The 13162-nt window shown below is 39.1% G+C and overlaps 1 protein-coding gene across 2 annotated transcripts in view; it reads right to left on the bottom strand.

Moving 5' to 3' along the window:
• ACADSB (acyl-CoA dehydrogenase short/branched chain) overlaps positions 1564-13162 on the bottom strand; it is a 49285-nt gene continuing 37686 nt past the window's right edge. For both annotated transcript variants that reach the window (NM_001609.4, NM_001330174.3), the window contains 4 exons: positions 12556-12645; positions 8668-8805; positions 6694-6793; positions 1564-6159 (listed from right to left, as the gene is read on the bottom strand). In NM_001609.4, coding sequence (NP_001600.1) covers positions 6089-6159; positions 6694-6793; positions 8668-8805; positions 12556-12645 — 399 coding nt within the window. In that variant the 3' untranslated portion in view covers positions 1564-6088. The remainder of the gene's footprint in view (positions 6160-6693; positions 6794-8667; positions 8806-12555; positions 12646-13162) is intronic.

Genomic DNA, 13162 nt, shown 5'->3' with positions numbered 1-13162 from the left:
AGATTTCTATCATGATTTTTTGTCATTCTCCCCACCCTAGGGTAACTTTGAGTCTTTACTTTTTTTTTTTTCCTTTCTTTTTCTTTTTTTCTTGAGACAGGATCTCACTCTGTCTCCCAGGCTGGAATGCAATTACACCTAAATGTAACCTCGACTTCCCAGACTCAGGCGATCCTCTCACCTCAGCCTCCGAGTAGCAGCGGCTACAGGTATGTGCTACCATGCCTGGCTAATTTTTGTGTTTTTGTGTAGAAAAGGGGTCTTGCCACATTGCCCAGGCTGGTCTCAAATTTCCTGGGCTCAAGAAATTACTTATTTTTATCTTTTTAAGATCAAGAATCAAACATGGCACATAGCAAATCCCAGGCAAAACTCTAGAGTGAGATTATTTGGTATTTCCTTAGTTTTCTTTTCAGTGCTTTTCTCATCCTTCTAACTGCATCTTCCCATTGCTTTACCTACTCTGCCAGGTCTTCTCTCCAAACACACGTTTCCACCACACCCGTTCGTCTCGAAGGTCCCATTCTCAGCTAGTTTCTCTGCCTCAAAGTATCTGAAACTCATTCATGAAGAATTATTAATGAATAAAGGACTAGTTGGTGGTGGTATTTTACTGGAAGGCTCCTGAAGATAAACAAGACTTAGACCCAAAAGAATAAATCTAGGAGGGCCTTCATCAGCAAGACTGCTGGAGTTTGAGTTCCATTTCTGCCATCTATGAATAAGCATCTTATCTAACACCTCTATGCCTCAGTGTCCTTGCCTATGAAATGAGATAACAAAGAGCACCTCCCTCATAGGGCTGTTGTGAGTTAATATGTGTCAAGAGTCTAGAATCATGGCTAGCACATGGTAGGAGCTCAAGAGATGTCAGCGCTTACTGTTATCATTCTAATGGATGTAAAGAAATATTTCTTTATAGGGGTGACCTTGGTAGCTTTCTACTCAATCTTTCTGTGATGAATAGAAAAGACACCTGAATGGGCGCACATTTAAACAAGGAGCTGTTCTTATTCATGTTTGCATGGTGGCTCAGCGTCCACAGCACTTTGGACATAGCGACCACTCACTACATGTTGCTGAATGACAAAGGAAAAAAAAAAGGGACTAATACCTAGATTTCTAAAATGATGTAGAGGATAATGGGGAGAAGATAAGTTGAAATTTCCTATAGCCTTAGGCTACAGTGTACCACTGAGTAAAAAGTGCAATAATATACATTTTCTAAAAGTAACACTATAAAGCACAGGCATACATATCAGCCAGATAATATCTGTACAGCAAGGATACGCTCAAAAGAGGTGAACTCTCTACTGAAGAGCTGCTTATTTTGCCATTTAAAAAAAAGGGTCCTCTGGCAACATTTTCTTTAGTATCATGAATTTAAACTCAGTCTACATTATAAGACCTCTTCTCTGAAAACAAACAAAATTGGCTTATGTGAGAGGCAAGCTATTGGTTTGGTAAACAAAGATGTATATATCTTACAGAAAGATTACATTATTTTCTTATTTCATCTGTATGTATAACAAACAATTTTGCTTTATAAGAGTACCAAAAATCTCCAGTTAATTTAGTCCTTTATTTTTTTCATTCTCCATAGAATATTGGTTTTGTAACATCGAATACAATCCAATATATAACATTAAAACAATCCGATACATACCATTCTGCTTTATGAAAGATCAGCAAAAATACATAAACAAGGATATAACTAGTACATTTATAAAATACATCATAACAATGAAACCAAAGGATCCCACACAATAATCTTCACATTTGACATGCTGGTTACAGCTGAGGAGAGCCAGTGTCTTTGGCAAGTGATTCATATACATAAGCGATGACACTGACTAATCCTAACACTTCTGAAATGTTCATTCTTTACCAGTTAAACCTAAAATAAATCAGCAAGAGTACTGAAATATAACAAGAATGAAATCCAAAATTTGTCGAAAGGGGCAATGTTTAATACTAGGAAGAACACTGAATTTGGGGACTAATTCTTGTCCCCAAGTACATTTGGATTCTTGTCTTCGTTCCTGGATGATCTTAGGCAAGTAATCTGTGCTATGAATCCTTCACTTTTAAAATGAGAGAGTTGGTTGGCTGGTTCTCTAAGGTCTTTCTAGATTTTAACTTTCCATGATTTTAAAATCTTTGACACAGGCTTATTTTTGTGTTGTAAAATGAAATCTCTAACAATACTAACTTGGCAGTTGGGTGGAATCCAGTGCCACCCACACACATCTGCTCAAATAGTTCTTTATCTTCTGAGCCCCAAGACAGCCCAGTCCTCAAATTAACAATGATGGCAGGCTTCAGGAGGCTGATGGCTAGTTCTCCGCCAGACACAAATGCAAGATAGATAGTTTTAAAGCTCCTGAAGTCATGGTTATCAGAAGAAAAGCTATAAAGGAAGAACTACAGGGAAAACCTACAACACTCTCTTTGGAAAAATGACAAAATAACACATTTACTGATGCACTAACGGAAGAAGGTAGGTGCATATATTAACTATAACACATAATTAATTTTAACTGTTATTGGTGAATATGCACAAAATATACATACAAATTAGAACTTGATCAATAAATATAAATTCAAGGTCTAGATGCAAATGGGAAGCTCTCTGATGCTGGTAATTTGAACAAGAAGTTTATTGTACTTTCACATGTTTCTAATTCTATGGGAAGAAGTTGGGATTCCTTTTACTAATGTTGGCTTCTGCTCCATTATCTGTAAAGTCCACCTCTTTCACATAATCGCAGAAATTAAAGATGTCCAAGGCCCCTGTAGGGCATTTCATCCATGTCATACTCTTATCAGATGACTGTCTTTTTGTTCTGAAAGAGTGAATGAGTGGGTTTTCATCATCTCTCCATTTGAAAGTCAAGTAAGCTTTATCTCTTCGGATTCAAGGTCTAAATTTGTCCTTGTTTCTTCCTAATATTTTAATGTAATTCCTATGTCAATTGTATTTACACAATTTTTAATATTTAACTCTGATTTGCATTATAGAAATTAGTCCACTTCAATAAACATGAATGTGCAAAACAAAATTACTCTGGAAAAGTCAGGTTTTTTAAATAAACATTATCCTTTTATTAAATTACTAAAATGTTTCTCATATAACAGTAATGATTATTCTAAGCAACTGCATGAGCCTTGGAAGATTCTTCATCTCTAACACATGTTCCTCTTTCAGAAAATATCAAAACTCTCATTTCTCTGTTGTCCACCTTCCTCCTGAGGGGACTCAGGCCACACAGGGGGTCTCTTCTGACTGAGAATCCCTAATACTGAAGAAGTGGCATCACCAGTGATATGGTTTGGCTATGTCCCCACTGAAATTGCAACTTGAATTTATCTTCTGGAATTCCCACATGTTGTGGGAGGGACCCAGGGGGAGGTCATCGAATCAGGGGGGCCAGTCTTTCCTGTGCTATTCTCATGATAGTAAGTCTCATGAGATCTGATGGGTTTATCAGGGGTTTCCACTTTTGCTTCTTCTTCATTTTCTCTTGCCACCACCATGTACGAAGTGCTTTTCACCTCCCGCCATGATTCTGAGGCCTCCCCGGCCATGTGGAACTGTAAGTCCAATTAAACCTCTTTTTCTTCACAATCTTGAGGAATGTCTTTATCAGCAGTGTGAAAACAGACTAATACAGTAAACTGCTAACAGTAGAGTGGGGCATTGCTGAAAAGATAGCCAAAAATATGAAAGCAAGTTTGGAACTGGGTAACAGGCAGAGGTTGGAACAGTTTGAAGGGCTCAGAAGAAGACAGGAAAATGTGGGAAAGTTTGGAACTTCCTAGATACTTGCTGAATGGCTTTGCCCAAAATGCTGATAGCAATATTGACAATAAAATTCAGGCTGAGGTGGTCTCAGATGGAGATGAAAAACTTTTTGGGAACTGGAGTAAAGGTGACTCTTGCTGTGTTTTAGCAAAGAGACTGGCAGCATCTTTCCCTTGCCTTAGAGATTTGTGGAACTTCGAACTTGAGAGAGATGATTGTGAGACGTGGAGTCAAAGGTGATCATTTTGGAGGTTTAAAATTTGACTGCCCTGCTGAATTTTGGACTTGCATGGGCCCTGTTACCCTTTTGTGTTGGCCAATTTCTCCCATTTGGAATGGCTGTATTTACCCAATACCTGTACCCCCATTGTATCTAGGAAGTAACTAGTTTACTTTTGATTTTACAGGTTCATAAGTGGAAGGGACTTGCCTTGTCTCAGATGAAACTTTGGACTGCGGACTTTTGGGTTAATGCTGAAATGAGTTAAGACTTTGGGGGACTGTTGGGAAGGCATGATTGGTTTTGAAATGTGAGGACATGAGATTTGGAGGTGCCAGGGGTAGAATGATATGGTTTGGCTGTGTCCCCACTGAAATCTCAACTTAAATGGTATCTCTCAGAATTCCCATGTGTTGTGGGAGGGACCCGGGGGAGGTAATTGAATCATGGGGGCCAGTCTTTCCTGTGCTATTCTCGTGATAGTAAGTCTCACAAGATCTGATAGGTTTATTAGGGGTTTCCACTTTTGCTTCTTTCTCATTTTCTCTTGCTGCCGCCATGTAAGAAGTGCTTTTTGCCTCCCACCATGATTCTGAGGCCTCCCCAGTCATGTGGAACTGTAAGTCCAATTAAACCTCTTTTTCTTCCTGGTCTCAGGTATGTCTTTATCAGCAGCGTGAAAACAGACTAATACAACCAGATATATATTTTATTGCATTTTGCCTGTTTATAACCTATATTGCAAAACAATAGATTCATTTTTGCCTTCCCAAATATAAAACTATTTTAATATTGAATATGCTTTTTCAAACTCTACAGCCCCCTTCTCTCCCTCATTCCTTATGAGATTTTGATACACTTCTTAATGGGCAAGAGATCTTTTTCTTGAGAATCACTGAACCAAAACCCAATTTCTGAATTATTATTCAGGATAAAGTGCAATAACCATGACTGAAGAAACAGTATTCAATTAAAATACAGAAATTGTCAACTGAAAAATAGTGCATGACAGAATATCCAACACTGTATTGAATATTTTCTGATTATTAAACCAAATTACTTAAACCTTATACTTGAAAACTAATGCACATTGGTTTTTAAAATGACCTACTGAAACCACCATAAAATGTATCTTTTATACAGGTTAATTATAGTAACAAATCATATTGCTTTACATTGTTAAAATAATATTTTCTTCAATCATATGACCTACAAAATTATACCCTTATTTTCCACTGATTCTCATATTTAAAACCAGAATTTTTAGATTTTTCTAAATAAATTTTCATCAGTTTTGACTTCGCTTGCAACTTAGAGTTGAATCTATAAAGTACTGGATAAAAATTGCCTACTATGTAACAAATATTTCCCTGATGCCACAAGATTAAGATTTAATAGGAATATAAACTATTTCTATAAGTAATATTGTACTTCAGATGCCTTTATTTTTCCAAATGATGGGATGAAACTTCTGTATACTCTGAAACTAGAATGATAATATAAATACCCAGCCAGGCACGGTGGCTCATCCCTGTAATCCCAGCACTTTGGGAGGCCAAGGTGGGCGATATCCAGAAGCCAGAAGACCAGCCTGGGCAATATGGTAAAACCCCATCTCTACTAAAAACACAAAAATGAACCAGGCATGGTGGTGCACACCTGTAGTTCCAGCTACTTGGGAGGATGAGGCATGAGAATCACTGGAACCCAGGAGGTCAAGGCTGCAGTGAGCTGAGATCGCGCCACTGCACTCTAGCCTGGGTGACAGAGTAAGACAGAGTAAAAATATATATATGTATGCGTATACAGCTTTAAAAACAGTTTTGGAAAAAAATACAGGTGCTTATTTCCCAAGTTTAAAAGTGGATCTCCTGTGCCTAAGTTAAACAGCCTGAAAAGAGAAAACCAAAAAGGCCAACACCAGGACCCTGACTAAGGGCTTCATTAAAATATTCGAATGCTGTGGAAGTTTATTCCCACGCAAGGCACTTACTCCCAACAAGACACAACCGTTTAAAATTTTACAGCAGTGACACCAGGGAGGGGTCCCACTCCTATAGACGTCAGTATTCTGCATCGATATGCTTTGCAATGGTGTTCAACTGGATGTTGGAAGCTCCTTCATATATCGTACCTTAAGCAAAAGGAAGCAGAAGGAACAATGAGGAGTTGGCGCATGGTTAAGACAAGAAATAGCTCTATAAACATCACCTCTGCGCTTGCTATAAAACAGTTACTAGTCACATCACTTCATGTCCCCTGAATATGGTACTATTTCACAGTAATTTTGACTAAGAGATGACAATTTTCCATTTGGTTTCTCGATGTCCAGGATCAGTATTAAACTGACTAAAGGTGTAAACAAAAGTTGAAGATTTTGATTCTTCAACAATTGATGCATAAGCTCAGACTGTTATTTGTGGCAGTTTTACTAAAAAGCCTGTTGAGGCATTTAAAAAGGCAATTTGATATTTTTTAAAAATATAGAACAATTTTTTTTGAAGGACGAGGTAAGAAAAAAATCCAGCCACATAAATAGAGCCACCAAACATATACTGAAGAAATTAAAATTGCTTTTACCTAGGAAAAAAACGACAAATAAAACAGCCAAAATACCTACAGAGGCAAATAAAACAAAATAAAATGTAAAAAAAAAAAATCTATTTACCAATCTTTGCATCTCGGAAGTATTTCTCCACAGGGTAATCTTTGGTGTAGCCTACTCCCCCCATCCACTCGATACATTTACTCGTTGTTTGTCCTGCAATCTACCAAAAGCAAGTGCAAATCACACACTGAAACCACATAACTTATACATGATAAACACTTCTGGGTAACATTTTCAGCAACATGGATTTACTGTTAGTGGCACTGGAAGGACTAAAGTTATCTTCTAAACTAGCATTGTCTCTTCAGTCCCATTCTCCATACCATTTCTGTAAAACATCCTATTAATTCACAGAATCCCCATTTTCTTAAGAAATTAGAGCATTGTTCACATGAATCTGCATGCTGAGAGATATCATTTATTCAGGAAATGTTTACTGGGGGCCTAACGGACGAGCTAAGGGACATTTCAAGCTGAGGACCAACACGTCGAAATCCTCCAAGGGGAGAATGAGCTCTTCAACTTCCAGCCCCTGAGACAGCCAGTGGGCTGGGATCGGGGTGAAATGTGAAAAGAGAATGGAGGAGCGAGAGACCCTGCAGAATGGCCCCTCAAGGACGTCCACATCCTAGCCCTCAGAGCTGTGAATATGCTGCCTTCCATGGCAATAGGGACTCTGCAGATGTGGGTAAGGACACGAGATGGAGAGATTACCCTGAATTATCTGGGTGGCTGTGATATAATCACAGGGATCCTTATAAGGAAAAGGAGGAGGCAGGAGAGTTAGTCATGGAAGGTGACGTGACCATGGAGACAGGAAGCAGAGTCAGAGAGAGATCTGAACATGCCACATTGTTGGCTTTGAAGATGGAGGAAGGGGCTACGAGTCAAGGAATGTGAGCAGCCCCTAGAAGCTGGAAACAACTGTCTGCCAGAACCACAGAAAGGCAGCCCCTGTATTCCAGTGAGACCCATTTCAGATTTCTGACCTCTAGAAGTGACAGAAAATGAAACTGCGTTGTTTTAGGTCCCCGACTTTTTGGTAATTTGTTATAGCAGCAATTGGAATCTAGTACAGATAGAGCTCCATTTGTTGTGAGAAGCCACTGAAGGGTTAAAGCTGGAAGGTGACATGGCCTCACTGCCACTTTGAAAAAGGAGAGAGGCTGGATGGGAGGAAGCACCAGGGACCAGGAGGGCAGTGAGGTGACTGAAGTACAGAGGTGGCAGTGGAGAGGGAGACAAACACACCATTTAAGGAATCTTTTAGGGGTAGAATCATAGGAAATGATGCTGGACTCAATGTGGGGGGTGAGGGAAAGCAGGGTGCCAAGATGACGCTCAGGTTCTGATGGTGAAGCAGAAGTTGGACATGTTAGTCTGGAATTCAGAAAGAAGTTGAGGTAGGATATTTAATTTATGGGCTGGAGAGGTTAAATGAGAATTTAAAGCCATGGAATGAATAAGATACTGCTGAGGCTACGAAACAGCTGCCCAGTGATTTGGCTAAATTCTCTAGCCTCAGTCTAATGTGTTAGCTCTAGAAAGCAAATGTATGAGTAGAAAGTTTTAGACAATCTTTTCTTGGTGTTTTAAATCTGATTTGTTCACATGATGGACCCATCATCTTCCACGGCATTCACTTTGCCCGAACTTGACACCATAGGCATGACACCCTCATTCAGAGGAGGCTCAGCCATGGATTTGAGATGGGTGGTCTATCTGAGCTGGGCTACTCACGAAACATGGAGACCTCACAGAACTGAAGGTTTTCCTATGGCAGTTTGAGATGGGTGGTCTAGCTGAGCTGGGCTACTCAACGAAACATTGAGACCTCACAGAATTCAAGTGTTTTCCTATGGCAGTTTTCCTTTTTTGCTTTTCTATTATAAGAAATAAAAGTCCATGTTATCTTAACTTGAAAAACAACCAAAGTACAATCAACATTCCCAAGAGAAAATGTTAATAAGTATATATCTGAAAAAAAAAAGGCTGAATTACTTTTTCCTTTTTTTTTTTTTTTTTTTTTTTTACCTCTGATGCATAGTATTTGGCCATTGACGCTTCTTTTATGAATGGCTTTCCAGCTTCTAAAAGCCTAGCAGCATTGTATGTTAGTAATCTTGCAGCTTCCAGCTGGGTGGCCACGTGAGCCACTTGGTGTTGGAGGCCCTGTAACAGTCAGGCCCAAGTTAGAGAATTATGATTTCAAAAAAGCAAGCACCTCAACCTCAAAGTCCTGCCTAGATACACAACACTGACAGACTCAAAATACACCCCAAAGGAAATTTACATTCACGTCTTTTAAATACTTTAAAATGAGTAATCTAAAATGAAATGTGACACTATAAGTATTGTTAAATCCTCTTTTCCTAGAAAAACTTCAAAGTTCATGTAAGTCTTCATGATTTTCAAGATTTAAATAGTAAAGTATAACAAAGTTAGGTTTAAAAACTTGACTGTTATATTTAATAATTATTTCAACTCTCTTTTGATCAAAATTGAGCTTAAATGAAATCCTGGCACAGCAAAACTTTGAATATATTCTTTATTTGCTTGAGTTAAGAAAATTTTGATTTTTCATATGGCTTCCAGGCATTAAAAAATGTTAGCTACAAAGTAATGAAGAATATTTGAAGCACCAATTACTACCACCCTGAAATTTTAGAGGGTGATTAGGTCCATACTAAATGTTTGCCAATGAAAGAAACAACAGTTAACTTAGTGAGCCAGAATACAAACATTAACATTTATAAACAATTTCCTGCAAATAACAGGCACAGATGTTTACTACAAACTGAAATGTTTCTCATGCCTAACCTATCCATCCACCCAGATAGTTATTGGGCACCTCTGAGATGGCAGGCACCGCCCTGAGTGACAGAGGCAGCACACTGAACATTACAGCCAGAGTTCCTTGTTCTCATGATTTATAATACATAGTCCAGCAGGAAGAACAGACAATTAAATAATTATAATAATGTGTGATGAATATTAAGACAGTGAACCTTGATTAAGTCAATCACACACGAATCCCAGGAATGGCCTTTCTTAAACAAAAGGGAGGGAAAAGTTGGAGAAAAACAGCACTGTTTGTTAATACCCTACAGATTCTTCTCTTTCTCTTTCTGAAATATGTGATACACACAACAATTTCGTATGTACAAAAAGAGACGATGTTCCGTATATGTAGGCTATAAAGCATAATAGTAAGTTAAACACCCACAAACCTATGTGCAGAGTCAATATCTTCTCCCCTGTGATTTATCTTTTCACTTTATGGTATATTTCAAGGAAAAAAACTTACCAATCTTACCACCCATCTTATCTTTAGGATTAGTCCTTTTTGTGTCTGTTTACAAAAACCTTTCCTACCATGAGGTTATAAAGATATTCTCTGTTTTCTCCTAAAATCTTTAAAGTTTTGCTTTTAAGATCACGTCTTTACATCTGACATCTATTTTGTATGTATGGTGTGAGGTAGGAATACAGTTTCATTATTTTCTCACGTAGAAAGAATGTTCCCACTCAGTGATCTGTAATGCCATTTCTATCATACATCAAATCTGCTGCATGCATGGGTCTATTTCTGGCTTTTCTGTTTTGTTCCATCAGTGAATTTGTCTGTTTCTATACAAGTATCACTGTTCTAGGAATTTGGCTTTTTATGTGGAACTCAGAGATTCTGATTATTTTTGCAAACTACATTCAGTTCAATTAAACTTACAGTCACCATCCATGCTGTCTATTCCCTTTGCCACATTAAGTACTGAGAGAGGCAGGAAAGTGACTGAGGCATGTCTCCTCCTCTACAAGAACTCACCATTGCTGAATACTCGTTCCCTAACTACATTGTGAACACAAGGCCTGGCATGGAGAACATGCTAAATAAATCTATACTGAATAAACAATTGAAATTAATAAAGATGAATAGGCTGGTCTCTACCCTCAAGGACCATGTAGTCTTGAGGTCAGAAAGATATGAACGAATGCATGCAAAGCAAACATAAGATAATGTGTTAGAAAAAACTCCACTAACTTTAATCAAAGCATTATACAGCTATAATAATGTTGCTTTTTAAGATCAAAATTTCTTCTCCTTGATGTGCTTATTTCACATAGCATGTCTCTATCAAAACATCTCATGTACTTCATAAATGTTTATGGGTACCTGTGTACCCACAAAATTTTTAAAAAATAAATTAGGCTGGGCGCAGTGGCTCACGCCTGTAATCCCAGCACTTTGGGAGGCCGAAGCGGGCAGATCACGAGGTCAGGAGATCAAGACCACGGTTAAACCCCGTCTCTACTACAAATACAAAAAATTAGCTGGGCGTGGTGGCGGGTGCCTGTAGTCCCAGCTACTCAGGAGCCTGAGGCAGGAGAATGGTGTGAACCTGGGAGGCAGAGCTTGCAGTGAGCCAAGATAGCGCCCCTGCACTCCAGCCTGGGTGACAGAGCGAGACTCTGTCTCAAAATAAATAAATAAAAATAAATAAATAAATAAATACATAAATTTTAAAAATCTAAGTGTTCTTCTAACTATCCATACTAGGCATCTCTAAAGATGTCATTATGATTATACCTGTTAGTATACCTGACCCCTTCTGTCTATTGATCTATCTATCTATATGCACAAGAACATAGTTTCCTGTGCATAAAGAAGATCAAAAGCCTCCCTTCAAAACAACCTTTACATTCTGTCTCTTTCACTGCAATCTTTGTGGTAGCTGGCTGAGAAAGTACTCTAGTATAATGAAAATTCGACTAGAAGCCAAGACAAAAAAAAAACCTCTACTTTTGGCCCCATATTAGCTTTATGACCTTGGGAACTCAGCCTCCGTGTGCTTCAGGTTCCTAGGCATAAGATGGGAATGACAGCATGGGCTGTGGTAGGCACTGGCCAGGCCTGCCACTCTCAGTCCTTCTGGGTCTTGAACTGACTGTGCATGTCCACAGCCTCGTATCTCTACACATGTGCAATCTGAGTGTGCTCGTAGGATGCCTAGTCATTATTATAAACCTGAAGACAATGCAACATGCAGTTGGCAATGCAATCATAAATTGTACTTGGAGCCCAGAGCTGCTTAAGGGGAGGTTTTGCAACCATGTAAAGTAATTATTCTGGAATTTTAGGTGACATGCCTTCAGGTTGCCTAAAAGGTTTGGTAAGCTGCCACTCCAGGCTGCCCCCACCCTGGCAAGATCTCAAGGAGGGCAGGAAGAATACCACTGCCACCAAGGAATCCCCAGATTGCCTGGTGAGCTCTGAGAAGCCACAGCACTGGACCAAATCAGTATTACCCAAGTGCTTGGCTGACTGCACCTCATTTGTATTTAATGCAGCAAACTGTATCTTCCATGAGACGTAGGTGTCAAAGTACAGTCCTCTGAGGATTACCACATGGTTCTGGTCTGAATAGGGGACCCATAACAAGTGTTACCATTTACTGAGCACATGCTATACCAATGCAGTGTGTGAAACACTTTACACATACCTCATTTAAACCGGGGTAAGTAAGTAGTTTTACCTTTATTTTACAGATGAGGCAGTTTAAGACTAGAATGAGGTCACTTGCCTAAGGCCTAAAGCTGGTAAGTGAAAGAACCAGGATTTGAATCCAGGAAGTCTGACTCCAGACCCCCTGCCCTGAGCTTCTGAAGCAGTGAGGAGACAGCTTCACGGTGCTCACCGAGATATCCTGAATCATGCCATAGCTGGGCCTCAAGGACTACTGCTCTGCCCTTGGCAAAGATCAAGGCATTCACAAGTACACTCCCTGAGACCTATTCTTTCCTCCCCTACCCATCTCCCATTAAAATCCCCCTGAAGGGATTCCCTCCATGGATTTCAACACAGCCCTTCATTAACAGGAAGCTGGGGAAGTCTAACACAGCAGAAAGACCCTAATAATTACATACCTGAAAATCAAATAGTCTTTTGCCAAATTGTATCCTTTCTTTAATATATGGAATAGTGTAGTCAAAACATCCTTGCGCCAGTCCCAGCATCTGTTAAAACAAAAAAATAAGATCAGAATTTCTTATTTTGTTATAAGTTTAATTATCCAAGTTGTGAATTCCCTCTAAACATAAATTGAATGATTGGGGCAGGGGAAGAACTGGAGATGCTGAGGTGGTGAGGTGTGTGTTAATAACACATCCTCACCCACCGCATTTGTAGAACTGAACTTCCAATAATTGGGAGAAAATTTTGAGTGATTTCATGTGAATATGAGCACATTTAATTCTAGCAGAGGTAAATCTCCCAGCAAGGCTGTGTTCACACAACCTTTTTAGGTTAAGATTACTCTTTAGGAATCTTCCTTAAGCTTTGATTCTCCAGGTATAAAATGAGCCATAGAAGTTTTGCTCAGAACTGGCCTTGAAGGCTATAGAGGAAGGCCCTCCAGTTCTTCTAGAAGTAAAATATGGAAGGTCACTTCTTAACTTTCTACCTTTCCGTCTATTTTGTATATGATTAGGATTAATGAGAGCTTCAATGGGAGGGCATTAGAACATAAGAGAG

The sequence above is a fragment of the Homo sapiens genome, chromosome 10 (genome assembly GCF_000001405.40).
Source record: "Homo sapiens chromosome 10, GRCh38.p14 Primary Assembly".
Classification (NCBI taxonomy): Eukaryota; Metazoa; Chordata; class Mammalia; order Primates; family Hominidae; genus Homo; species Homo sapiens.
The sequence above is the reverse complement of the archived record's forward strand: the minus strand, read 5'-3'. Positions and strand labels throughout refer to the sequence as shown.